General features: G+C 35.3%; 1 protein-coding gene across 9 annotated transcripts in view; it reads left to right on the top strand.

Annotated features, from left to right (window-relative positions):
* VPS13C (vacuolar protein sorting 13 homolog C) overlaps positions 1 to 26144 on the top strand; it is a 208059-nt gene that overhangs the window by 110765 nt on the left and 71150 nt on the right. For all 9 annotated transcript variants that reach the window (XR_007064464.1, NM_017684.5, NM_020821.3 and 6 more), the window contains 12 exons: positions 78 to 240; positions 2374 to 2490; positions 3273 to 3376; positions 3801 to 3968; positions 7616 to 7920; positions 8889 to 9036; positions 12933 to 13086; positions 15352 to 15464; positions 18424 to 18593; positions 19935 to 20182; positions 22363 to 22592; positions 24135 to 24227. Coding sequence is in view for 8 of the 9 variants with exons in the window: in NM_017684.5 (NP_060154.3) it covers positions 78 to 240; positions 2374 to 2490; positions 3273 to 3376; positions 3801 to 3968; positions 7616 to 7920; positions 8889 to 9036; positions 12933 to 13086; positions 15352 to 15464; positions 18424 to 18593; positions 19935 to 20182; positions 22363 to 22592; positions 24135 to 24227 (2013 nt within the window). In the remaining variant the exon portion in view is untranslated. The remainder of the gene's footprint in view (positions 1 to 77; positions 241 to 2373; positions 2491 to 3272; positions 3377 to 3800; positions 3969 to 7615; positions 7921 to 8888; positions 9037 to 12932; positions 13087 to 15351; positions 15465 to 18423; positions 18594 to 19934; positions 20183 to 22362; positions 22593 to 24134; positions 24228 to 26144) is intronic.

Raw genomic sequence — 26144 nt, 5'->3', positions numbered from 1 at the left:
TACTTATATCTGTTGAACCCTGATGTAAAGATTTTACTGCATCTGAAATCTGCCTCTTTAATTGTTCATTATCTTAGGTTTCATTTGCATCCTTAGACTTAGTACTTCATTTGGAAGCTTTACTTTCCTTCATGGATTTTTTATCATCTGCTGCTCCATTCTCTGAGCCTTCCTCTTCTGAGAAGGAATCCGAGCTGAAACCACTTGTGGGGGAGTCCAGAAGTATCGCTGTCAAAGCTGGTAATAATTTTTGAATTATGATCTAATAATACTTTGAACTTTAATAATCATATAACAACTTGTTTTTTTCAGTTAAGATGAATATTTAGCATGTTGACATTGCTGCTCTGATAGGTTAGTTTCAAGAGAAAGAAAATGTTATCTCTATGGGATTATAGAGCAGTTTAGTGAGGAATTTTAAATAGATGTTGTTTAATATTATATATTTATATTTCAATTCACTGTCTAGCTTTTACATAAAATAGAAATTGTATGTACTTTATGTTGATGTGTCTTTGTAGTCTTCAGTTCAATGGAAGTGAGAAAGGAAAAAGTTCAGTTATGATTCAGTCATACAAGGTCACAAAGGCCCGTTTCAGTTAGTCAGGTAGACTTACCTGGTGCTCAGCAATTTTAAATGCTTAGTGGGACACTGCAGGGAAGGAGCTCATGGAATAGACACACTCATATTGGTTTCTAGCCAAAACTATATTTAGATCACACAGATATGGGCACAGGGTCCTCAGGCATATGACTTATGTTATGAAAAATTAGGTATGACATATCCTGAGTGAATAAATAACATTTGCTTACTTTTAAGCCAAATATCATTTTAATTATTTTTCTTTCATATTATATAATGTCAGTATTTAACATCTAGTAATTCAGTTTTCAGATCGTTACGAGTTTGAGTTTTACCTGTATTACTGGCATGTTTGGTGTAAAACTGTCAGTACTGTTAGATCAGGTACAAGGATCTGATTTTTCTTTTTTTTTTTTGAGACGGAATTTCACTTTTGTTGCTCAGGCTGGAGTGCAGTGATGTGATCTTGGCTCACTGCAACCTCCGCTTCCCAGGTTCAAGCAATTTTCTTGCCTCAGCCTCCCAAGTAGCTGGGATTACAGGTGCTCACCACCATGCCTGGCTGATTTTTTATATTTTTAGTAGAGATGGGGTTTCACCATGTTGCGCAGGCTGGTCGTGAACTCCTGACCTCAGGTGCTCCACCTGCCTCGGTCTCCCAAAGTGCTGGGGTTACAGGCATGAGCCACCACGCCCGGCCGGATGTGATTTTTTTAAACCATGGAACAGAGCAACAATTTCCTTATAAACTAGAGTAAAAGAGCTTTACCTGCTTTGTCTTTAATGTACTTGTCACATTAATAGCCTCAGAAATATCCTTGGAAATTCCTCTCCTTTATATTATATATGCATACAGTACATACACAACACAGTTGAATAAATGAAAAAGAAATGTTTAAACTCACAATACACTAGAAACACTATTAACCCAAAGAAACAGTCTTCCAGTTTTGCTATATTGTTGGTCTTTGTGGTTTGATTATGTTACATCAAATATTAAAGAAAAAAACAACCTGTCGTACTGGTGATTAAGGACAGATACTTTCCGTGCTTTTGCAATTTCAATCAGAAGGCTCTATTTCCTTCCAGCAAGACAGATTTTTAGGAAAATGGATCCTAAATTTATCAGTCAGGATCTGGACTAAAGTGGATTTAGGGCGCTAGTTTGATTGTGATTCTTATGCACACATACACCTGCGTGCATATACATTATAAATTTTTTTTTGGTATTTTTTAAGTTGGCCCTTTATGTTCATTTCTCAAAGAATTTATTTTAGGATTCTTGATGGAGCAACAGGGTGTAATCTGGAGAAATTTATCATGTAGTTAATAACATGTAAGTGCCATAGTAAATAATATGTATTTTATTAACTGGGCATCACCATTGCAGTTTATCATGAGTTATTCTTCCTTAATCTAATATATGATACGAAAAGGAGTTCAGAATCAAAACTTTAGACCAAGAGAATTCTAGAGTTCTAATATAGAATGTTTTCTTTTTTCCCAGAAAAAAAGTTGTAGTAAAGTTTCCATCTAGTAAATTGCACTTTCAAGGTGCTATTAATATTATAGTTGCTTTTATTCTTAATTTGAAGGGGAACGTGCTAATTTTTGTAGATTGGAATTTGATAATTATTCCAAAATTTATGTTAATTACATGTTATCTTAATGGAGGGCATTTTGGTTCCTCAGAGTACATTGGGTACTTTTATTTTGGTGGATTTGAGGTTATTGTATGTGTTGTATTATCTTTTCCCTTTGCTCATCAGAAGGTTTCTATTATTTTTTAGTATCCAGCAACATTTCCCAAAAGGATGTGTTTGATTTAAAGATCACAGCTGAATTAAATGCATTTAATGTCTTTGTCTGTGATCAGAAGTGTAACATTGCAGATATTAAAATACATGGTAAGTAGTTACTTCTTGTTGTAGGTATTTCTGTTTCTTTACATAACTAGGAAAAATGAGCTTGTACCTGTTAGATTTCTCATGAGTTTTCTTTTGGTTTACTTATATTGAAGACTTTGCAAACTTTTCAAAGATGTGCTTTAAAATGTTACAAGTAAATTTGTTGTGATTCATTGCTGACTTGAGACATTCCTTATGCATTATGCATTATCTACATTTTTATGCAGTTGCAGAAATCATTATGCCTTTAGAAACTGAGAATGACAAATTTTTTTTGGAGGGAAATCTTAGAAGACTGTTTCCTAATACAGTTTATTATAGAAGTAAGACTATTCATCAAGTAATGTTCATTTATTTTTAGTTATTGGAGCAACAGTTTTTAATAATATAGTAAATGTTTGTAAGATCACTGTTTAACAAATATTGTCTTCCTAAATGACCACTGCTGATCTTGCCAATGCAGAGGATATTTAAGTTTGGAGAAATGTGATTAATTTTCTAAATTAATTTGAATTTCTTTGAAACTTGGTGGGTTTTTTTTTTTGGTTTTAAAATTTCTACAACTTTTTTGGAGGAGATGCCTGTGTCCCTTAAAGTTATTATTTAAAGGTATTATTACCTTTCTTAGGTATCTCATACATGAAAGTTGATGCCATTAATGTGTCTTATAATGAGTAATTTTTATTCACTTTATATCTTGTCAGTATATTATTGAACTTAAATACCACTGGCTTAGTCATGTGGATTGGGTGAAAAGTTTATAAATGTTATGTTTCCTATAGGAATGGATGCCTCTATTTCTGTGAAGCCTAAGCAGACTGATGTGTTTGCCAGACTTAAAGATATTATAGTTATGAATGTAGATTTGCAGTCCATTCACAAAAAGGTGATTAAAAAATAGATTTTTATATTGGAATTTATTTTGCCTTTTGGATTTGAGATGCTATTATTTATTTGCACAGTATACATTTATTATCTGTCATGTACCAGGCACTTTATTAGGAATTGGAGATGAAAACGGTAATAGTCTGCTTTCACATTGTGTATAGACTAGGCCTCTTGATACACAGTGATTTGTAAAAGTTATTTCTGAACAGCTAAGTGGTTGATATTTTCACTGATAAAATGCTTTTTATAGAAATAGGAAGAAGTTATTGTCACGTAAAATGTTTTTAGCTAATAATTTTTAATGTTGAATTCATATATTTCTACTTATCAAGGATTCTGTAATACGAGAACTTATTTATAATACATTGATAAGGGCTATACAGCTCTTTTGATATAATAACCAGTTAATCTAATACTTTTAGGCTGTCTCTATTTTGGGAGATGAAGTCTTTAGGTTCCAACTGACTCTTTATCCAGATGCCACAGAAGGAGAGGCCTATGCTGATATGTCCAAAGTAGACGGCAAACTTAGTTTTAAAGTGGGTTGTATTCAGATTGTTTATGTTCATAAATTCTTCATGTCTCTTTTGGTAAGTTTTTAAAAATATATTTATTCCTCACTGAGGCCTAAATATCTTTGCTTATACAACTGAACCTAGATAGTAAAAATCTTCACTGATAAGGCTGTGTGATGAGCACCTGAGTGCTGAACAGAATGTTAATATTTAAAGAAATCCTTTTCATGATGTTAACCAAATGAATTTTTAAAATTATTGTTTTGAAGATATAGACTGTAATTCTATAACATTTCCACAGGTATACATTTTAAATGTATGTTTTATGTTTTAATTTAGGGCTTTCCACTGTAACTTGTTTAATGAGATATATTTAAGAGTATTTAGTTAAAACAATTTTTTGAGGAAACTTTTCAGGCATTTGGAGGACTCATATTGGAACTTACAGCTTTTGGTTATGATTGTGATCAACAGCATCATGAAATGCTTTTCTTTTTATTACTTATTTCCATGTAACTGTCATGGTGTATTAGTCCATTTTCACACTGCTATAAAGAACTGCCTGAGACTGGGTAATTTACAAAGAAAAGAGGTTTAATGCACTCACCATTCCGCATAGCTGCGGAGGCCTCAGGAAACTGAATCATGGTGGAAGGGGAAGCAGGCACGTCTTACATGACAGCAGACAAGAACAAGCTTAGGGTGAAGAGCCTCTTATAAAACCATCAGATCTCATGAGAACTCACTATCACAAGAACAGCATGGGGGAAACTGCCCCTGTGATCCAGTCACCTCCTACCAGTTCCCTCCCTTGACACCTGGGGATTACAATTCGAGATGAGATTTGGGTGGGGACGCAGAGCCAGACCATATCACATGGGCTGAAGGATTTAAATCTGCCTATTCTTCTTAGTGGGGCTGCCAATCAAAACTTTTAAAAATCATATTTTTTTTTCAAAGAAAGATAATTTCAACTCTTTTGGACTTCACTTGTTAATTTCAGTTGATAATCCAACTATTTTAGATTCAGGGCATACATGGGCAGGCTTGCTACATGAGTATATTGCATGATGCTGAGGTTTGGGGTTATGATTGATCCCATCACCCAAGTACTGAGAATAGTTTTTCAACTTTTTCCCCCTTTCCTCCCTCTCTGTAGTAGTCCGCAGTGTCTTTTTTTCCCAATGTTACATCCATGAAATACCCAGTGTTTAGCTCCCATTTATAAGTGAAAATATGTAGTATTTGGTTTCTGTTCGTGCGTTAATTTGCTTAGGATAATGGCCTCCAGCTGCATTCATGTTGCTGCAAAGGACATGATTTCATTCTTTTTTTATGACTGTGTAGCATTTCATGGTGTATATGTGCCACGTTTCCTTTATCTAGTCCACTGTTGATGGGCACCTAGTTTGATTCCAGGTCTTTGCTGTTGTGAATTGTGCTCTGAAGAACACGTGAGTGTGTGTCTTTTTGGTAGAACCATTTATTTTCTTTTGGTTATATACCCAGTAATGGGATTACTGGGTCAAATGGTAGTTTTGTTTTGAGTTCTTTGAGAAATCTCTAAATTGCTTTCTACAGTGGCTGAAATAGATTTGCATGAATAGTTATGTAATTGTTCTCTTCTCTCTGCAGTCTCCCTAGCATCTGTTATTTATTGACTTTTTAATAACAGCCATTCTGACCGCTGTGAAATGGTATCTCATTATGGTTTTGATTTGCATTTCTCTAATTGTTAGTGATGTGGAACATTTTTTCATATGTTTGTTGGCTCCTTGTATGTCTTCTTTTGAGAAGTGTCTGTTCATGTCTTTTGCCCAGTTTTAAATGGGATTTGTTTTTTGCTTGTTCACTTGTTCACACTTTTTTTTTTTTATAGATTCTGGATGTTAGACCTTTGTCAGATGCATAATTTGCGAACATTTTTTCTATTTTGTAGGTTGTCTGTTTACTCCACTGAAAGTTTCTTTTGTAGTGCAGAAGCTCTTTAATTAGGTCTCACTTGTCAATTTTTATTTTTGTTGCAGTTGCTTTTAAGCACTTAGTCATAAATTCTTTCCCAGAGCCGATATCTAGAATGGTGTTTCCTAGGTTTTCTTGTAAAATTCTTATAGTTTGAGGTCTTACACTTAAATATTTAATCCATCTTGAGTTAATTTTTGTATATGGTGAAAGGTAGGGGTCCTTTCACCATAGAATAAAACGTTGTTTCATTCTTTTGCATATGGCTAGCCAGCTATCTCAGCACCATTTACTGAATAGGGAATCCTTTCCCCATTGCCTATTTTTTGTTGACTTTGTCAAAGAACAGGTGGCTGTAGGTGTACAGCTTTATTTCTGGGTTCTCAATTCTGTTCCCTTGGTCTGTTTGTCTGCTTTTGTACCAGTACCATGCTGTTTGGGTTACTGTAGCTTTATAGTATAGTATAAAGTCAGGTAATGTGATGCCTCAGCTTTGTTCTTTTTGCTTGGGATTGCTTTGGTTATTTGGGTTCTTTTTTGGTTCCATATGAATTTCAGAATAGTTTTTTCTAGTTCTGTGAAAAATGACACTGGTCATTTGATAGGAATAACATTGAATCTATAGATTGCTTTGAGAAGTATAGCCATTTTAACAATATTGATTCTTGTAATCCATGAGCATGGAATGTTTTTCCATTTGTCTGTGTCATCTGTGATTTCTTTCAGCAGTGTTTCCTAGTTCTCTTTGTAAAGATCCTTCACCTCCTTGGTTAGATGTATTTCTAGGTACTTTGTTTTTTTGATGGCTATCGTAAACAGGATTGTGTTCTTCATTTGGCTCTCTAGCTTGGATGTTATTGGTGTATAGAAATGCTACTGATTTTTGTACATTGATTTTGTATCCTGAAACTTTACCAAAGTTGTATGTCAGTTCCAGGAGCCTTTTGGTGGAGTCCTTAGGGTTTCCCATGTGCAGAATCTCATGATTCCTTAAAAGCATGCATTTCTACTTAAACCATCATGTTTACTTTTCTAGAGAGCAATTAACTTGGAGGTGGGTGCCGGGGAGGTTAGGTTGCTTTTGTAATATTAATGGATGTACACCAAGAATATTGCTTCTGAGAATGATCTTATCCTCATTGGGAAAGATTTTTCTGTTTTTAGTTGAAATTGAGATGAAATACATCTTATTATAAATAAATTTTGACTCTTACTAATGATTACAGGATTGTAGACAATTAACTGTCTTTCCTCATGCTGAGTACATAAAAAAAAAAAAAAAAGCCTTATCAGAAATAAGCCGGCAGAAGCTTAGTTTCTAAGACTAAACTTTATTGCTGTGGCCTAGCAGTACAGAATTGAACCCAATTTTGGAGAAGTACGGTACTGCCCTTCTCCCTTTCATTTAAATTTGAATTTAAAATAACCAACATTCTTAATAAAAAGGAGATTTTTAAAAGAACTGTTGCAAAAATTTATCATGAGAATAAAATAATTCTCAATTATTTTATATTTTATAAAATATTTTATAAAATGAAAAATATTTTATGAAATGTAAGAAAGAGCTCTTTCTTCCTACAGTAACTATTGTTAATAGCTCAGAGTGTATGTTTCTAGACTTCACTCTCTACATACACAAAATCATAAATAACATCTTTTATATTACTTTTTTATTTAGTTTTTAAAGTAAATGCTTTTTAAAGTTTTTTCTTTTAAAAATAAATGCCTTTTTTCCCCTAAATATCTGTCTCTTCCAACAGAACTTCCTCAACAATTTCCAAACTGCTAAAGAAGCTTTGAGTACAGCCACAGTCCAGGCTGCAGAAAGAGCTGCTTCCAGCATGAAAGACTTGGCTCAAAAGAGTTTCCGCCTTTTGATGGATATTAATTTGAAAGCACCAGTTATTATTATTCCTCAGTCTTCAGTATCACCTAATGCTGTTATAGCAGATCTGGGTTTAATCAGAGTTGAAAACAAGTTTAGCTTGGTTCCTATGGAACATTATTCTCTTCCTCCAGTCATTGATAAAATGAACATCGAACTCACTCAGTTGAAGCTGTCAAGGTATAAATATGTAATCTAATTGTGTATTGCTTACTAGAAATAGGATTTTCATACAATTTTTACCTAAGGTAAAATGTTGTAGTAATTTGTGGTTTTCATTCCTTATTTCTTCTAATTATGAAACCTTGACCATTGGCTTCTTGGTCAGTGGTTAAACAGTCATGTATGTGCCTCATGGAGTCTGTATTTTCCCTTACTACATATGTAATATGATTTTTTTCATTCTATAAAAATTAGCTATTATAAAATTATAGTTTACTCAATACTTAGTTTAAATTTTTTATTTTTCTCACTTTGCACGTAGCTATTTCCTTTTTTATTTTTGGTGGGAAAAAACTTCGTAATATATAAAATTTAAGATTTATTTCTCATTTCCAAACCTTGTCACATTTGGGAATTTTCAGTGAGTTATCGAAAGGATTAGTGAATCGAAATGGGACAGTGTTGGCTCTATTGAGTGACAAGAGCGTTTATTTGGTTAGGCAAATGGTTGTTGGCAGGCAAGCTGGAATGACTATTACCGTATGTTCGTTTAACTTTTAGATTAGTTGAGTTTCCCCCTTGAGTCTGGAGAAGTACCAATAACATATTAAGGGCTAAGTATAAGATTACTTTCTTCATCTTCCAGTTTTAGGAGGATGTAACATTTGTTTGCATGACAGTAAACTATTCGCTGTATCAAACAGCCTTTGTGAAAAATAATAAATAATGCAGTTGTCATAGTGTATGAAAATTATGTTTTTGAAATCAGTGTTATGTAGGTTTGGTTTTGGATAGCTCTGCATATAAACTTATGTGTTGTGATTTAGATTGATCTTAAAAATGTGAAAAGAAGTGTATTCTAAAAGACTTCTGTTAGCAGCTTTTAGCCTTTATGAAATGCTGTGTGGAAACTGTTACACAATAGGATAGTCCTCATTTTAAAATGTAAATTTGAAGTAAAAAATAAATTCTTGTTTTTCTTTCAGAACTATTTTGCAGGCTAGCTTGCCACAAAATGACATTGAAATTTTAAAACCAGTCAACATGCTTTTGTCCATACAGCGAAACTTAGCAGCAGCATGGTATGTGCAAATTCCAGGGATGGAGATAAAAGGAAAACTAAAACCTATGCAGGTAAGTAGCTAGTATATAATATATGAAAATTTCTTGATAGGCTTTTCTCGTTGATCATAGTGCAGTTCTAGTGGATATCAGAATGTAGGAGTTGCTACGTTATTGATAAAGCTAAACCAGTTTTCTCTTAGTGAGCATTTGTCTGTTGTATGTGTACTTTTGCCCAAGTAATAAATTGAGTAAACTAGATTTTGTTTCCTATTTAAAAACAACAAAAATAAATAAATAAAAAATATGCAAATGAAATCATCCTTGTTTCCCTCACTTTTCTTTGTTTTCATTTTAGTTAGATATTTGGTAAAACCAGCAAGGAGTCTGAGATAAAATCTGTTGGAGTGTACTAAAAATATTATTCTTAATTTTGGAAAATTCTGTTAAAGTTTTAATGCAGTTAAATTGTAAGACAATGCAAAGTGATATTCAGACACTACATTCAAAGCACCTTAGTATTTTTAAATGTGTAGAGGGCCCGTTTTAATTAGAAAGGTGATATCATTTTGAATAGGCAAATGTGTATATTTGATAAGCATATAAATACACCATTATTTTTAATAGTGTAGTTTGTAGAGGCCTTGTTTTAATTAGAAAGGTGTTACCATTTTAATAGGCAAATGTGTATATTTGATAAGTATACAACTTTTTTTTTTTTTTTTGAGACGGAGTCTTGCTCTGTGGCCTAGGCTGGAGTGCAGTGGCATGATCTAGGCTCACTGTGACCTCCACTAGCTGGGTTCAAGCGATTCTCCTGCCTCAGCCTCCTGAGTAGCAGTGATTACAGGCACCCGCCATCCACTTGGCTAATTTTTGTATTTTTAGTAGAAACAGGGTTTCACCAGGTTGGCCAGGCTGGCCTCAAACTCCTGACCTTAGGTGATCCACCCTCCTCGGCCTCCCAAAATGCTGGGACTACAGGCGTGAGCCACCGTGCTCCGGCCACAGCGTTATTTTTAATAATGTAGCTAGAAGGTTGCATATCAGCTCAGAGGAGGAGGTGAGACTGGTTGAAGGTAGTCGTGGAAGTATAGGAATCCTGTGATTCTTGTGTGCCTATGTGTGAAACTGTTGAAACCAAACAGCCGAGGATGGGATAGGGGTGAGAGAGACTAAACAAAACCAAACAAAAATTTAGTGGTTTAATGGGTTTTCATACCTGTGATTATTTCAGAGTTGGTTCTAACATGAAATAGGAAGGATCAAAGGAGCAGAGTTTTACTAGGGAAGAAGTTAAAATTGAAGCTTGTTGTAGAAATGAAGGGTTTCTGTTCATATACTAGTGGATATATTACATGAAGAACAATTATTAAATTTTGTTTGTTTGGGCATTCATAGGGTAGCCTTTATTCCAGAGTATGGGTACCTTCTTTTAATTTCTGTCTTTCTGCCAAGAGGTTAGATCCCAGGACTAATATTTGGCTCTCCCTTTCAAAGATTAGATCCCAGGACTAATATCTGACAATCCCTTTCAAAGATTTTGTGGTTATAGGTTTGTTGAAAGCATAAGTAAAACCTGAATGTCTGTTGGTAGCAGAACATGGATAAAATTTTGGTATCTTCATATAATGGATGTTGTAAAGCAGATAAAGTGAATAAAATAGAACTATATCAAACAAAATTGATATATCTTGAACATAAAAATGAAAAAAGTGAGTTGCAAAATGATAGTACAGTTCTATCAGTTTTATATTATTTCAGATTTTCAACAGGCAATATAATACTATTATATATTGTTTATAAGAGATGCAGTGTGATAACTTTAAGAAAAGTATTCATGGAAATAATCTCTAAATTAGGCTGGTGTCTTTCTCTAAGGGCGAAAGGAGAAGGGAATAGGGTCTCAGAGAAGTACACACGGGGCTTCTGCTATATCTGTAATGGGAAACGAGATCTGAAGGAAATATTGCAGCTTGTTAAGATTTGACAAAGCCAGGTGGTAGATTCACAGGGGAAGATTATAGTATTCTCTGTCCTTTTCCTTTATGCTTTTTAAGGTATTTTAGAAGAAACAAGAAAAAAAAGTAACATCTGATACTTTAGCATCAAAGTATTATAATTACTTTAACCAAAAGCATCCTTATTAACTCAGGAATGCAGCAACAGTGGATGAGGCCACCACTGCCTAATTTGTCGCTGATCCAGGTCTCTCTAAACACCCCCCTTTGGTCATAGTCTGTATAGTTTTCCTGGGCCTGGGATGCAGCCAAGAAAGGGTATCAGGCAGGTGACACTGGCAAGTTGTTTCCCTGGTCTGGGCTGCAGCTAAAAAAGGGTATCAGGCAGGTGATACCTACAGGTTGTTTTGGGTGGATCATTTTGATGGTTTTTAAAGAACTGTGGGGCTGCCTTTCAAAATTGTCCTTCATACTTGTTCCCCCCCCACCCCACAGCAAAGTGAAAGAGGGGTGAACTTAGTTGCCCTTCAGAAAGCTGTGGTAATCTTGGTTGGTATGAGAAGTGGGTTGGGATATACAAGGAAATTCTAAGGTGTTAAAATTACACCTGTTATATGAGGCCTGGGGCTTAGGACAAGCCATAAATCCCTGGTCATTATCTTGTACTTAAATAGCTCTGTATTTTCATTTAAAGTGGGAACTAGGCAATTTCTCTGGTGGTAGGGACCTAATTTGGGGGACATAGGGTACTGTGGTATTCAGAGGAGATTTGCTATGCATGCGTGCTTGCATGCATGCTTGTGTGAATTTGTAAGTACTTGAAACAGGCCTTTGGAGCCACTGTGTCTTACATAAGGTAGAAGGATAAGGAGCTTCAAAGACAGTACTGGTTTAATGGATTTTAGCAGCCAGTAGCAGTTTCGTTTGTTTTAGTTTCTTGTTCTGCAGCCATCTGTGAGAAAGTTGGTATTATGCCTATTTTAGAGATTAAGAAACTTGATCACGCCTGTAATCCCAGCACTTTGGGAGGCCGAGGCGGTTGGATCACGAGGTCAGGAGATCGAGACCATCCTGGCTAACATGGTGAAACCACGTCTCTACTAAAAATACAAAAAATTAGCCGGGCGTGGTGGCGGGCGCCAGTAGTTCTAGCTACTCACGAGGTTGAGGCAGGAGAATGGCGTGAACCTGGGAGGCGGAGCTTGCAGTGAGCCAAGATTGTGCCACTGCACTCTAGCCTGGGCGACAGAGCGAGACTCCATCTCAAAAAAGAAAAGAAAAGAAAAGAAACTTGAGTTAAGGACGTTAAGAAACTTTGCAGCAAGACAGCTTGAAAGTGGTAGTTGATACAGATCTGCCTGACTCAAAGCCCTGGCTCTTTTTCTTTTTGCCACACATACCCTTTTATGAAGGTAAAAGATAAGATGCTACCTTCCTATTTTTTGTTCTTTAAACATTCTTTGTAGATACATTTGTTATTGTTCTAAATGGTATTATTCTTGATAAGTTAAACAAATGTTTTATGTATGTCCAGATGCATATATACTGAGATGAAGAGCTACGTAGCAGGAGAGCATCTTTTTACTATTTGGTAGAGACTAGAAACTGAACAACACTCGTCCTGTATTTAGTTTCAAGGAGAGTAAATAATATAGAAGAAGGAACTGGTACTGGTTGAGATGAGAGAGAGACAGAATGGAGATGGGAAGATAGGGAAATGGGACAGATAGGCACGGGTCCAGGAACAGGAAGACATAGTAACAGATAAGCCATAGAGAGTGTTGGAGTGCCAGAGGCAGGGGCCTGGATATGGGCGAAGGCAGAAGTGTGTGTGCACACAGTAAACAAGGTGAAATACTTCTGTTCTGGTATTTATAGTCCTAACTCTAACTCTCTTCTTTTTAAGTAGGTGAACAATTAATTTGAAAAACCACAAATCGAGATATAGATATGATAGTCTACATTTTTTTTATTACTTAGAGTTAACAAATTATTGGTGGTTTCTAGGTTGCTCTCAGTGAAGATGACTTGACAGTTTTAATGAAAATTTTGCTAGAAAATCTTGGAGAAGCTTCCTCACAACCAAGCCCTACACAGTCTGTGCAGGAGACTGTAAGAGTGAGAAAAGTTGATGTTTCAAGTGTACCTGACCATCTCAAAGGTATAAATTGATGATATTTACTTTATGGAGAAAAAATTGGTGTTAATGTCATATTTATATTTAGTATTTTTCTAGCTGTCCAGCACAATGTGGTATGAACTAATTCAGTATTGTACTACTTACTGTGGAAATTCGGCTGGGGCTGGGAGGTATGTCTGTTCTCTGCTACAGGGGGAAGGGTCACTTGTTGTTGGCATGGTGCTTGTTTACCCTTTACTTGTGAATGCTAAATTTGCTGAATTCACTAGGCACTGAAGTGGCGTATCTTGAGAGAAGAATCAAGCTAGATAGGCAGTGTAGTAAGGTCCCAAATTAATTAAGAGAGAAAAGGACCTTGGTATCACATGTCATACTCAGGTGATTGAACCATGAGAAAGGAAGGTATTCTTGTAACAGCTTTATTTATCTGGACTTATTGGAGCGTTATGTTTCAAATACATAAGATAATTTTTCAGATCATTAATTTGAACCTATTAAAAGCAGTGAACCTTTTGAATTCAGCCATTTTTAAATAATTTTTCTAAAATACAAGGTTTCTTTTTGATTTCTTAAACAGATTATATTACATATAATTTCACTCTTTTTTCATAATTTAAAGCCATTGATGTGAATATTATGTTTAATTAGACTGTAAATAGGTTAATATTTTCATGGCTAAAAAGAGATGAAGTACCCCTTGCCCATATAGTAAATGGTCCTGGCTGCTGTGCTTTTCTAATGCTCTCATACCATCAGCTGTTACTTCAAATGACAGTAATCGGTAAAACTACCAGTTGATATACCATATCAACACTGCTTCTCCTATAGTTAGGCTAGGTGTGTTTTGAAATCACACAAACAAATGACTAGAACAGTGTGCAAGGTTTCTGGTTTAAGTGGATAGTTTTAAGTATTGCATAAGCTTGATGAGGTCAACATCTCCCCAGGTGAAGTTTGTGCCACCATACAGACAAATGCTAGATAAAAAGGCTGTTGTTATAGTTAGACAGGAACTATGTAGAGATGAATAAACTATTAACAGGCAAGCCTTATGTGATTAATGATCTCACTGTGTTCAGCCGTGATCACGATCATGTATCTGGTTCTTGCTATATGGACACCGTGTCACTTGGGAAAATTTGTGAATTCAAATGGAAGCTGCAAAGATGATGAAAATTAGAATATAAATTATTTCTCAGAAAAATAGAATTTTCTAACTTGGAGAAGGCTTACGTGGTTAAAGTTACGCAGTATTTGTTTTTCCAGTAACTTGTAAAAACAGACTGTTCTATAGTATGACAAAAAATTAGAGTCAGTGTTGAAAAAGATTATAGAATCAGTCCGTAAGAGTGATTGAAAGCAAGATCTATTCAGTCTGTGTGATCTATCTAAAGATGAGAGAAAAGACTGACTTACTTCCTGAAGTCTCATTTGTCTCAAAATTCCAAAGCACCCACTCCTTTCCCCTGCATCATATGTGAACTCTGTTTGATTTTGCTATTGAGTTATATTCTGTTCTTCTGATAAAGAAAATGGATTGGGTAATATAGGTAATTAAAGATAATGAGGCTGGGTGCAGTGGCTCACACCTGTAATCCCAGCACTTTGGGAGGCCGAGGTGGGCAGATCACGAGGTCAGGAGATCGAGACCTGCCTGGCCAACATGGTGAAACCCCATCTCTACTAAAAATACAAAAAAATTAGCCGGGAGTGGTGGCGGGCGCCTGTAGTCCCAGCTACTTGGGAGGCTGAGGCAGGAGAATGGCATGAACCTGGGAGGCAGAGCTTGCAGTGAGCTGAGATCGTGCCACTGCACTCCAGCCTGGGCAACACAGCGAGACTCTGTCTCAAAAAATAAAATAAAATAAAATAAAATAAAGTTAGTGAGAGGTGCATTAGTCTAGCAGAAAATCTGTTACTAGCTGTCTAATATAAGGCAAAGTATTGGACTGTTCTGAGTCTCCAATTTCATAATGTCTTGAAAATGGCTTGTAGCCAGTTAGGTGTCAGTGCCTTGAAAATTAAGGCCTCCTCTTTAAAAAAAAATTTTTTAACATAGTCTGCCTGTGCCTCTTTGCACATATATGCTAAATATATATGGAATAGTCATTGCCATTTTTAAAATTTAACAGTTGGAACATAATTGCCATTTTTATTAATTGTCTCAATATGATTTACAGAATCCCAGAAAGCGTCATATAAATTTAGAATAAGAAATTATCTCATATTTAAAAATATTTATAAAATTACGTACCTACTTAAAAGCTTTTAAATTTTCACCATTAGAACAAGAAGATTGGACAGACTCAAAGCTCTCTATGAACCAGATTGTCAGTCTCCAATTTGACTTTCACTTTGAATCTCTTTCCATTATCCTTTATAACAATGATATCAACCAGGTATGTAATACATTTCTGTAATTAGAAATAAATCCTTAGCTCTTGATAGTCAGTTTTAGAGTGTTGGCTTTTTTTTGTGTGGGACTTTTCATTAAAACATTTAATATGTCTATAAAATTCTATTTGGCCTACAGAATGTGCATTGGTCCTGCCCTCTATCTTCACTTTGTTAGTGTTTCTAATCTTCCAAGGCTAAGGCAAAGTACTCAGGGTTTTATTTCTTTCCAAGTAATATCAGCACCAAAACACATTTTGATTTATTACCAACAGAAGAATTTTATATATGAGTGATTAATTATATATACAGTTTTATTACATAGCTATATATATATGTATATATAACGACTTAAGAATAATTTAGTAGTGACTTTGGAGCCTTACCTGATTATTTTTGAATTCATGATTATCCTTGGTATATAAGCATTAATTGTGTTTCTATTGAATAAATGTTATATGTAGTAGATTATGTATTAAGGATACTAATTAAAGAATTGAAGAGCCAAGGTCTTATGCCATGATGATTTGAACTAAATAATATGTCAGTGGTATTTTAGAGAGCTATTTTTTATTATGCTGATATTTCCTTCAGTAAATATTTTTAATTATATTATGTCATACATTAATACCTATAATACATATGGCATATTTTAATATCCATATTCCGTATTGATTATAGATTCAACAGTGAGCATATACCCTAATTGGGCAGTGAGCAATATACTCAAATGGACATTAACAACAGATACAGATTATGGGTATTATATCTGTTAATGTCCATTTATATGAAATATGTTCATTTATATTTCATTTTATTTACTACAAATTATGCAATATTCATACATTGTTACTATTGAATTTTTGGCTTGTATCTGTTATTTATGCAATGAACTGCCTTATTTTCTAATGTTTAATGCTCATTACAACATCAGAAAATGACCTTACCAAAAATGAGCAGTTAAATTCATTCTTCATTTTACTTGGTACCATCATTCTGCTGGTTCTGCAGTCTTAGAATCTTGATGTCTACTTTTGTTTCATTGTTTGTATGCCTTCCTTATTCATTGAGATGCTGAGTACTGTCAGGTTTTTCTTTGAATAAACATTTACTTTTTTCTATCACTTCTCACTGCTGCTTTATTTGAAACTCTTCTTACACTTGTAGTACTGCAATGACTTCCTTGTTTGATTTTTTACCTTTCATCCATCCTAGATATTGGCACAACTTCAGTTTCCTAAATGAATGTCATGTAGCCATTTCCATCTTCCCTTTCCACTAATAAACATTGTGTTATATAATCTGAATTTCATATTATGGAAAGAAATTCAGTGGCTCCAAATTGTCTACATCAGGAAACCATATCAGTAATCCTATCAGGAAACATTAGTGTGTTGTCATCAGCAGATGTGTCTCAGGTCATTGCTATTAATGATTACAGAATAAAAGTTTGTGAATTATTTCCATTTTCATAAGTTAAAAGCATTCAAAGCTTGCCAGTAATAATGTCATTCTGACCCAATTGCATCAACATACTATCTTGAGTGAGAGAAGGGGTGGAGTTCTAACCAGTGTGCCAATGATTGCACATACCCAGCACCCCTATTATCAATGCCAGGGTCTCTAGTAAGCAATGGTGTTGGATGTTCATCACTTCCCTGAAGGTTTTTGTTGATTGGCTGGGGTTTTTTTTTTTTTAAATCTGGACATACTGAGAGAATTTGGAATTATATGTTATGGTAGAATAAAGATCGAGGTCCATTTTTCTATACATGAAAATTTAAATATTTAGTTTGGGATTTGAGACTTCGATTAGGCCTCTGTATTTCTTTCTAGTTTTTTCCCTACCATTCTTTAATCGGAGTATCCAAGCCCAATCACCCTGTATCCTATGTCCTAAAGCATCTTGAATTGTTTGTTCATGTTTTTTCTTCATGTGGAGTGTCTTCTGCCACCCTCTTAGCCTATCTGATCCCACTCAGCCTCTGAGGTTCTGTTAAGTTCTCACCTTCTTTATGAATTTTCCCCAGCCATAATGATCTCTTCAACCTCTCTGAGCTTTTACTATTTATACTCTTTACCTAACCACTAAATGGCTTTTGTGAAATGTGAGAAGATATAAATATGAATGAATAAAATACTGTATGTCACAAAATATTTAATCATTTACAACTAATAGCATCTTCTTGTGATGTTCCTTTTAGTGTATTTCTATTTTGTTTTCTCAAGGAATTAGGGTATATGCTCATTCACATCATCTACCATGCCTTACTCTTTCTTGTAAACCTCATAAATCTTATCACTGTTTTTTAATGGAAGAGCTCATTAAATATTTATTATTAGAGGCGGGGCGCAGTGGCTTATGCCTGTAATCCCAGCACTTTGGGAGGCCGAGGTGGGCGGATCATGAGGTCAGGAGTTCAAGATCAGCTTGGCCAAGATGGTGAAACCCCATCTCTACTAAAAATACAAAAAAAAAATTAGCCGGGCATGGTGGTGGGCGCCTGTAATCCCAGCTACTCGGGAGGCTGAGGCGGAGAATTGCTTAAACGCAGGAGGTGGAGGATGCAGTGAGCCGAGATCGCGCCACTGCACTCCAGCCTGGGCGACAGAGCGAAACTCCATCTCAAAAAAAAAAAAAAAAGAAAAAATTTATTAGTTAGATTAATTGATGAATTGACAGCTCTTTCCTAATTATTTTTATTTGCATTAAACTGTAAATCAGATAAATTTTTCTATACTAATCATTGTTGGATATTCACACATATATCTATTTATTTGTATGTACAGGTATGCTCACAAACATGCATATTATTCTCTGTTCCATTCAGATGTTTTAGCACTCATACTTTTAAAATTCATGAGATCAGTTTGCCTTTAAGTTTTGAATTAAGTAATATGTTTAAAAGTAATTATATAATATTTAAAGGTAATTGATTCTTTTGCTTGAAAAATGTACCATAGGAATCTGGAGTTGCATTTCATAATGACAGTTTCCAACTTGGTGAACTCAGACTACATCTTATGGCCTCCTCAGGGAAGATGTTTAAGGATGGCTCAATGAATGTCAGCGTTAAACTTAAGACATGCACCCTTGATGATCTCAGAGAAGGAATTGAGAGAGCAACATCGAGGTTTGTCAGCTCTGAGTTTGCAATACATTATTTAAGGTTGACATTGCACCTGCATGGCTGCCAGGCATTGCTAGGCTAGGGATCATCCAAAAAAGATCTCTGTCTTTTGGTCATACTTCCTGATTTGAATTGCATTAAGAAGTAGTGCTAATATCAGATTCAGCTGCTTTAAAGGTTAAGTTAAAGGGAAGTTTAATTATAAAATGGAGTAACATATTTAGAATGGGAACTAAGAGAAAATGAGTTTTAATAGTTAAATCCACATGGGGTGATATATTTGGTGATGTATTTTTCTAAATTATTCCCAGTAGGCAGAATTTTGTTTTAAAAAGCCTTCAAGCTATGGATTTTTCCTTCATCATGTTTATTTTGATCATGTCTTTTTAAAACAGTTATGCAAAATTTCTTTCAAAGTTTTAATAGAAATAGAATCTCGAGCGCATTCACATCATCAAGCCGTTTTTGAAAGGGTGAGTTATATTAGCTCATTCTAAAATGGGAAATATGTAATTTTCAATAGCCTAATTATGTTTTTATTTTTCTCAAGTAATGAGACATAATATTTTGTATCTGATTTTTTTGTTGTTGCTTTTGAGAAAAACTGTGTTGCTCCTTAAACTTGGACTCCATTGAATACATATGGGATACTTGTGAGCCCTTTGTTTTTCTGAGAGATGAATAAATGAGGGAAGAGTGCTGTCATGCACCCAGCTTTTCTAGTTTGCAAATTTTGTGTCTGGAGTAGCTGTCCACAGCTCTCCCGGCAAGGGTGATAAATGCTATCATCTGTTAGGTAGCCTGCTTTTTCCAGTTCATGGGAGGACGTAGGGGAACTATAGTTGAGCACACTTGATAAACACTTGATGATTTGAGTTGTATTGAATACTTTCAGACTCAAATTTTCGTAGGATGATCTTTGAAGATAAATTCCTTCAGGGAGGTTTTATTTCATAAATAATATTAAAAGGCTGCCTTTATTTTGTGTGACTACACTGATTTGTTTTGTTAATTGCCCAAATTCCTTTCCGGCCATTATTGGTTTGTTTCTTTAGTATTGCATTATAATGTAATACTCAAAAATTGCATTATAATGCAATAACATATAGAATTGCATTGTAAGTATAAAATATTCAGTAATTGCTTAATAACGTATATCTTGCTTTGGAGATTAGTAGTCTTGTTTACTAATGGATAAATTAGATTCTAGTTAATGTTGACCTGTTTTCTATACAGATTAGAAACTGAAAGGTGAAATAAAGATTATTGAGGTATATAGGAAATTCTTCATCTTTTTTATTGTTTTAGCAAGAATAAAATAATGAATAGCATGTTTTTTTTCAGAATGATTGACAGAAAGAATGACCAAGATAACAACAGTTCTATGATTGATATAAGTTACAAACAAGACAAAAATGGAAGTCAAATTGATGCTGTTCTTGACAAGCTGTATGTATGTGCCAGTGTGGAATTTCTGATGACTGTGGCAGATTTCTTTATCAAAGCTGTGCCTCAGAGTCCAGAAAATGTGGCAAAAGAAACACAGATTTTACCAAGACAGACTGCCACAGGGAAGGTCAAGATAGAGAAAGGTTAGCAGAATTTATCTGTCATAGATGACAACTTGTATATTTTGACAAGAATTACAAACCAGAAAAAAGAGAAATGAAAAATTTAAGAACGTAAAATTAGTCTTTTATATTTAAACATATTCTATATAAAAACTTTAGCTTTTTAGTTTTTTAAAACATTTTTAAGAGAGAGGTACAGTAGATATTGGACCAATGGCCAGGAAAGTCCGCTGGTTCCAACTGTGCCATGAACATTTCTTTACTGATCCAGAAATGAAGTTAATTTGGGTCAGTGGTTAGTGGCCTGTTTTATAGGTGGGGTATCTTATTCAAAGAAAACATGTTGAGAATTCTAGCACATTGAAGAACAATTGAAAATATTAAAGCAGAACACGGGGACTTTGGAGGACCCAGCAGGACTTCCCTGGATGTCGCTTTAACTCCTTAAACTCTGTGGAAGAGTTTGCAAATGTCTGGTCTAGGTGTATGCTGAAGCCACTTTCAGCTCTGTACTTCTTTTATTCCAGCATTATCCAGTAGATCAGTGATTTTCTTTATTTTCTTTCCCTTTTTTTTCTTTCCTTTTCTTTCCTGTTCTCTCCTCTCCTCTTCTCTCCTTTTTTTTTAAAATTTTTTTCGAGATGGGCTGTCACTGTATCACCCAGGCTGGAGTGCAGTGGTGTAATCTTGGCTTACTGTAATTTTCACCTCCTGAGGTGGGCTCAAGCAGTTCTCCCACCTCAGCCTCCTGAGTAGCTTGGGTCCACAGTTGTGCACCACCACACCTGGTATTTTTTGTTTTTCGGTAAACATGGGGCTTCGCCATGTTTCCCAGGCTGGTCTCAAACTCCTAGGCTCAAGCAATCCGCCCGCCTCTGCCTCCCCAAGTGCTGTGGATTACACCTTGCTCCTGCCAGATCAGTGACTTTTCTATGTTAAATTATAAATGTCTAAGGTCAGATATTTTTCTCTCTAATGTATAACCTAGATTGGAAAACTAATATGTCCTGGTAAGAATGCTATTTTTAAAATTTACCTTTAATGTTTTTTAAATAGTGATCATATCTGATATTGCTATATTTATATATGCATTGAATATATTTACAGTATAGATTATATGACATTGACTATGGACTTTTGGGTGAAATTGAAAGAAACAACTAATAATAATCTATTTTATCAGGGTCTCTTTTCCTCTTCCTGATATTCTTTCCAGTTTTCCCCTTCTTGCCCCTGCAATATAATATATACTTATGCCTGCGTACATGCACATTCTTTAATTCTGATAAAAAGAACTTCAAAACAGGATTATTCTTTTTTATTATTATTATTATACTTTAAGTTTTAGGGTACATGTGCACAGCATGCAGGTTTGTTACATATGTATACCTGTGCCATGTTGGTGTGCTGTACCCATTAACTCGTCATTTAGCATTAGGTATATCTCCTAATGCTATCCCTCCCCCCTCCCCCAACCCCACAACGGTCCCCGGTGTGTGTTGTTCCCCTTCCTGTGTCCATGTGTTCTCATTGTTCAGTTCCCACCTATGAGTGAGAACATGCAGTGTTTGGTTTTTTGTCCTTGCGATAGTTTGCTGAGGATGATGGTTTCCAGCTTCATCCATGTCCCTGCAAAGGACATGAACTCATTCTTTTTTATGGCTGCATAGTATTCCATGGTGTATATGTGCCATTTTCTTAATCCAGTCTATCATTGCTGGACATTTGGGTTGGTTCCAAGTCTTTGCTGTTGTGAATAGTGCCGCAATAAACATACGTGTGCATGTGTCTTTATAGCAGCATGATTTATAATCCTTTGGGTATGTACCCAGTAATGGGATGGCTGGGTCAAATGGTATTTCTAGTTCTAGATCCCTGAGGAATTGCCACAGTGACTTCCACAGTGGTTGAACTAATTTACAGTCCCGCCAACAGTGTAAAAGTGTAAAACAGGATTATTCTTGCTAGGTCAAAGTGGTAATGGTATTCTTGGGACAGGGATCAGATTGCCTTATCTTGCTCAATCTGCATTTGTTAATAATCATTTAATAATTAGTATTAATTAACCAATTAATATTGTCAGTTTCACCATATCTGTTATAGAAAAACATTGAGAACAACTTAACAACTTGTAGATAACATGTAGTCAAATGAAAAGACTTACCTTAAACTTTTCTGGTTCCTGTTGCTTGTTTCTTCAGATGACTCTGTTAGACCAAATATGACTTTAAAGGCCATGATCACAGATCCAGAAGTGGTATTTGTTGCCAGCCTGACAAAGGCTGATGCTCCTGCTCTGACAGCCTCGTTTCAGTGCAACCTTTCTCTGTCAACATCCAAACTCGAACAGATGATGGAAGCTTCTGTGAGAGATCTGAAAGTGCTCGCTTGCCCTTTTCTCAGAGAAAAGAGAGGGAAAAACATTACCACAGTAAGAATTACCTTGTGTCCTAATCTTGGGTTGAAGAATGGCAGAAACAGTTGATTCATAGAATCCTAGAATATGAGAGCTCTGCAGGGACTTTAGAGATTATTTATTGTGAACTTGGGGTTTTACATATAAAGATATTGAATTCCAAAGATGTTAAATGACTTAGCCATGGCTGCTAGTGACAGAACTGGGGACTACCTTCAGAACGGTTTTATTTTCATTATACCATCTTCTGTTGAGTAGTGTTTGAATTTTAGTACAAATTAATATTCTTTTTCAACTGTTTCTTTTGTTCACCGTGGTATACCTAATTAATGAATGAGTGAATATTTAGGCTTAGAATGAAAAAAATTAAATTGGAGTCACTTCGCCAAAAGCGGTGGTGTTCTGCTGTTATTAAAAGTGAATGTCAATTATGTTTTCATATTATTATCGAAACATATGATTTTAGTCAGTTAATTACCACACCAATTATTTTCTAGTATTGATAATTTTATGGTAAGAGAATCATTATATTATGTGACTAATTTGCAGTGGCATTTTAAATGTAAAAAATTTGTGGACAAAATGACTTGCATAAAGAAAGTATGAAGTCTATACTTTATCATGAAATATTCTTTGACAGGATCGTCTTTATACATGTCACCAAAAGTTTATATCAATTAGCTCTTCCTAATTCTTTCTCTTTTAGAGACAAGGGTCTCACTCCGTCACCTAGCCTTTAGTGCAGTAATGCCATCTTAGCTCACTACAGCCTCAAACTACTGGGCTCAAGTAATCCTTCTGCCTCAGCCTCCTGAGTAGCTAGGACTACTAGCTGGCTAGTTTTGTTTTTGTTTTTTAATTAATTTTTTGTAGAGAAGGGGGTCTTGCTATATTGTGCAGGCTGGTCTTGAACTCGTGGCCTCAAGCATTCCCCCTACTTTGGCCTCCAAAAGTGCCGGGATTATAGGTATGCACTACCATACCTGGCCTCATCCTATTTTTTAAGAAATGACAATTATGCCGTACTAATTGCTCCATTCAGTTCAGGTACAAGCCTATTTATTCGTTTCTTTAATGATATATAAGAATATAGGCTTCACAATTTGATGAATTGACTTTTATTCTAATAAAGGCCTTACATGATATTTCAGACTGACCTGTCAAGCATCGGGAAACTGTTTACTTACCTACCTTACCACAGTCTTTAGCTCACTTTTATAGATATTTCAAAGGTATATTTTATAGAGGCCATCATTTAAAAACTATTTTAGCAGAAAGAAACATTTTAAACAGTAAATCTGCTTTATTACTTAAGGATTTGGCATGATGAAATTCATCAGAACGGCTTAAAGTGATTTTCCAGTGTTCACAGATTTCTCATAGTTCAGAAGAGTCTTCACAACAGAGTCTCAGCTAATTTATTTTTGCTTTTTTGCTTTTAGTATAATAGCAGGCTGTAGTTAAAGATCCCAAGTTAAGTAAGACATGGTTCTTGTAAGTGTGTGTTATGTATATAATGGATCTATGGAAATGTGAATTTCATTTATCTGTTTATAGGTCTTGCAGCCCTGTTCTTTATTTATGGAAAAATGTACGTGGGCTTCAGGAAAGCAAAATATAAATATTATGGTTAAAGAATTTATAATTAAGGTTAGTACTTACCATATTCTTTGAGTGAAAATTCTTATTTTTCTTCACGACATTGCATATTTGCAGTTGAGACAGTATCTTTTGATGTCTCTCATAACTCAAGCATTATGCTAGTCACATATTCAGTAATCAGTAACTTCTAACATTAAAGTATATTTTTCTTTAATGCAAATGTTTGTTTCTATTTTCTGTAAAAGAGTACTTTTTAATATCTACAAATGATCAGGGTAGTTTTTCTCTATTCTATTTGCATGCGTGTGTTGTGGGGGTTGAGTTGGAGGAGGGAAGAGATATGGGGTGGGAAGAGAAGGGAAGAAGGGATGGAGAGAAGAGGTTGTTATTACTTTATTTGTAATAAGTTCTTTTTAGGCTTTTATTTGATGTATAAGTTGATTGAATTTAATAACTATATGATTTGGCTTCAAATATTTATAATGACAGATGTACACTAGAAATAATTATTGGAGTTTACTGTTTTATTCACTACATTTAAAGCATTGAAAAACAATTATTGTTTTCCAATGGCGTTCAGGTTCTTTAAGTATACCTCGTGCCCAGTCACGAATAGAAGATATAGAATACTTTCTGCAATCTATTTCTCTGTTTGCACAAAGGATACAAAAATGAGTCCTTTTTTGGTTAATTGGTTAATGCCAATAATGGTAGTAGCTTTACTTATATAGGTCCGTGACCAACAGTGATTGAACTAAGGCTCAAACTCATTTCATTTGAAGTACCATGTAAATATCAATTTAGTTTTTTCTCAATATTTTAAAATACTGGATAGTCTTAGAATGTATATTGTTAATGGATTTACTTTTAAAAATATATAAAGTAGTAAATGAGGGAAAAACTCCTCGAATTTGCATATTTTAAAGCACTAGGTTAGGTGCTGGTGAGACTTTACATTCTTTGTGTATAAATTTATGATTGATTCAAAAAACGTTTTTGAGCTTTTACTGTGTATTAAAAAAATGTCCTTTACAAGGCATTGGGGATATGTAGCCCCTGCTGTCAAAAAACTTAATGACATATGCGGGAGAAAGAAAGAAATCAGTGATTACAGCTTTCAGTGCTAGAGGCATGGCCAAGATGCAGTTGGGAGCACAGGCATGGGGCCTTTAATTCAGACCAGGACATCAGGGAAAGCTGTGTAGAAGCAGGACTATTTGATTTGAGTTTTGAAGGGAGATTAAATAGATGGGGAGCATGGAAAGGTTTATCCAGACAGAACTGATAATATGCACAAAGGCAGAGGTGTGAAAAAATCCTTTAAGATTTAGAGGGGTGGCCGGGCGCGGTGGCCTCACGCCTGTAATCCCAGCACTTTGGGAGGCCGAGGCGGGCGGATCACGAGGTCAGGAGATCGAGACCATCCCGGCTAAAACGGTGAAACCCCGTCTCTACTAAAAAATACAAAAAATTAGCCGGGCGTAGTGGCGGGCGCCTGTAGTCCCAGCTACTTGGGAGGCTGAGGCAGGAGAATGGCGTGAACCCGGGAGGCGGAGCTTGCAGTGAGCCGAGATCCCGCCACTGCACTCCAGCCTGGGCGACAGAGCGAGACTCCGTCTCAAAAAAAAAAAAAAAAAAAAAAGATTTAGAGGGGTGGTCACATATGGCTGGAGAGAATGGTGTGGTGGCGTTGTAAGACTGGAAGCATTAATTATAAGTGACATTAATAAGACACGGAAAAAAAGTTGACAAGTAAGTTAGGAAAACAATACATACTAGATCCTGCTTTTGATGATATAATTATATCCCTTTACATTTTAAGTAAGGATTGTGAGAAGTGAACAATAAAGGAATACAGTTAACTTATTTAACCTAGTATTTCTCAAACTTTGGGAGAATCCTGGCTAGCTGGTTGAATAGGCACTAGGCCACAAAGAGCTCTGCACATTAAGTTAAAGAGAGTTT

Source organism: Homo sapiens, chromosome 15 (assembly GCF_000001405.40).
Source record: "Homo sapiens chromosome 15, GRCh38.p14 Primary Assembly".
Classification (NCBI taxonomy): domain Eukaryota; kingdom Metazoa; phylum Chordata; class Mammalia; order Primates; family Hominidae; genus Homo; species Homo sapiens.
The sequence above is the reverse complement of the archived record's forward strand: the minus strand, read 5'-3'. Positions and strand labels throughout refer to the sequence as shown.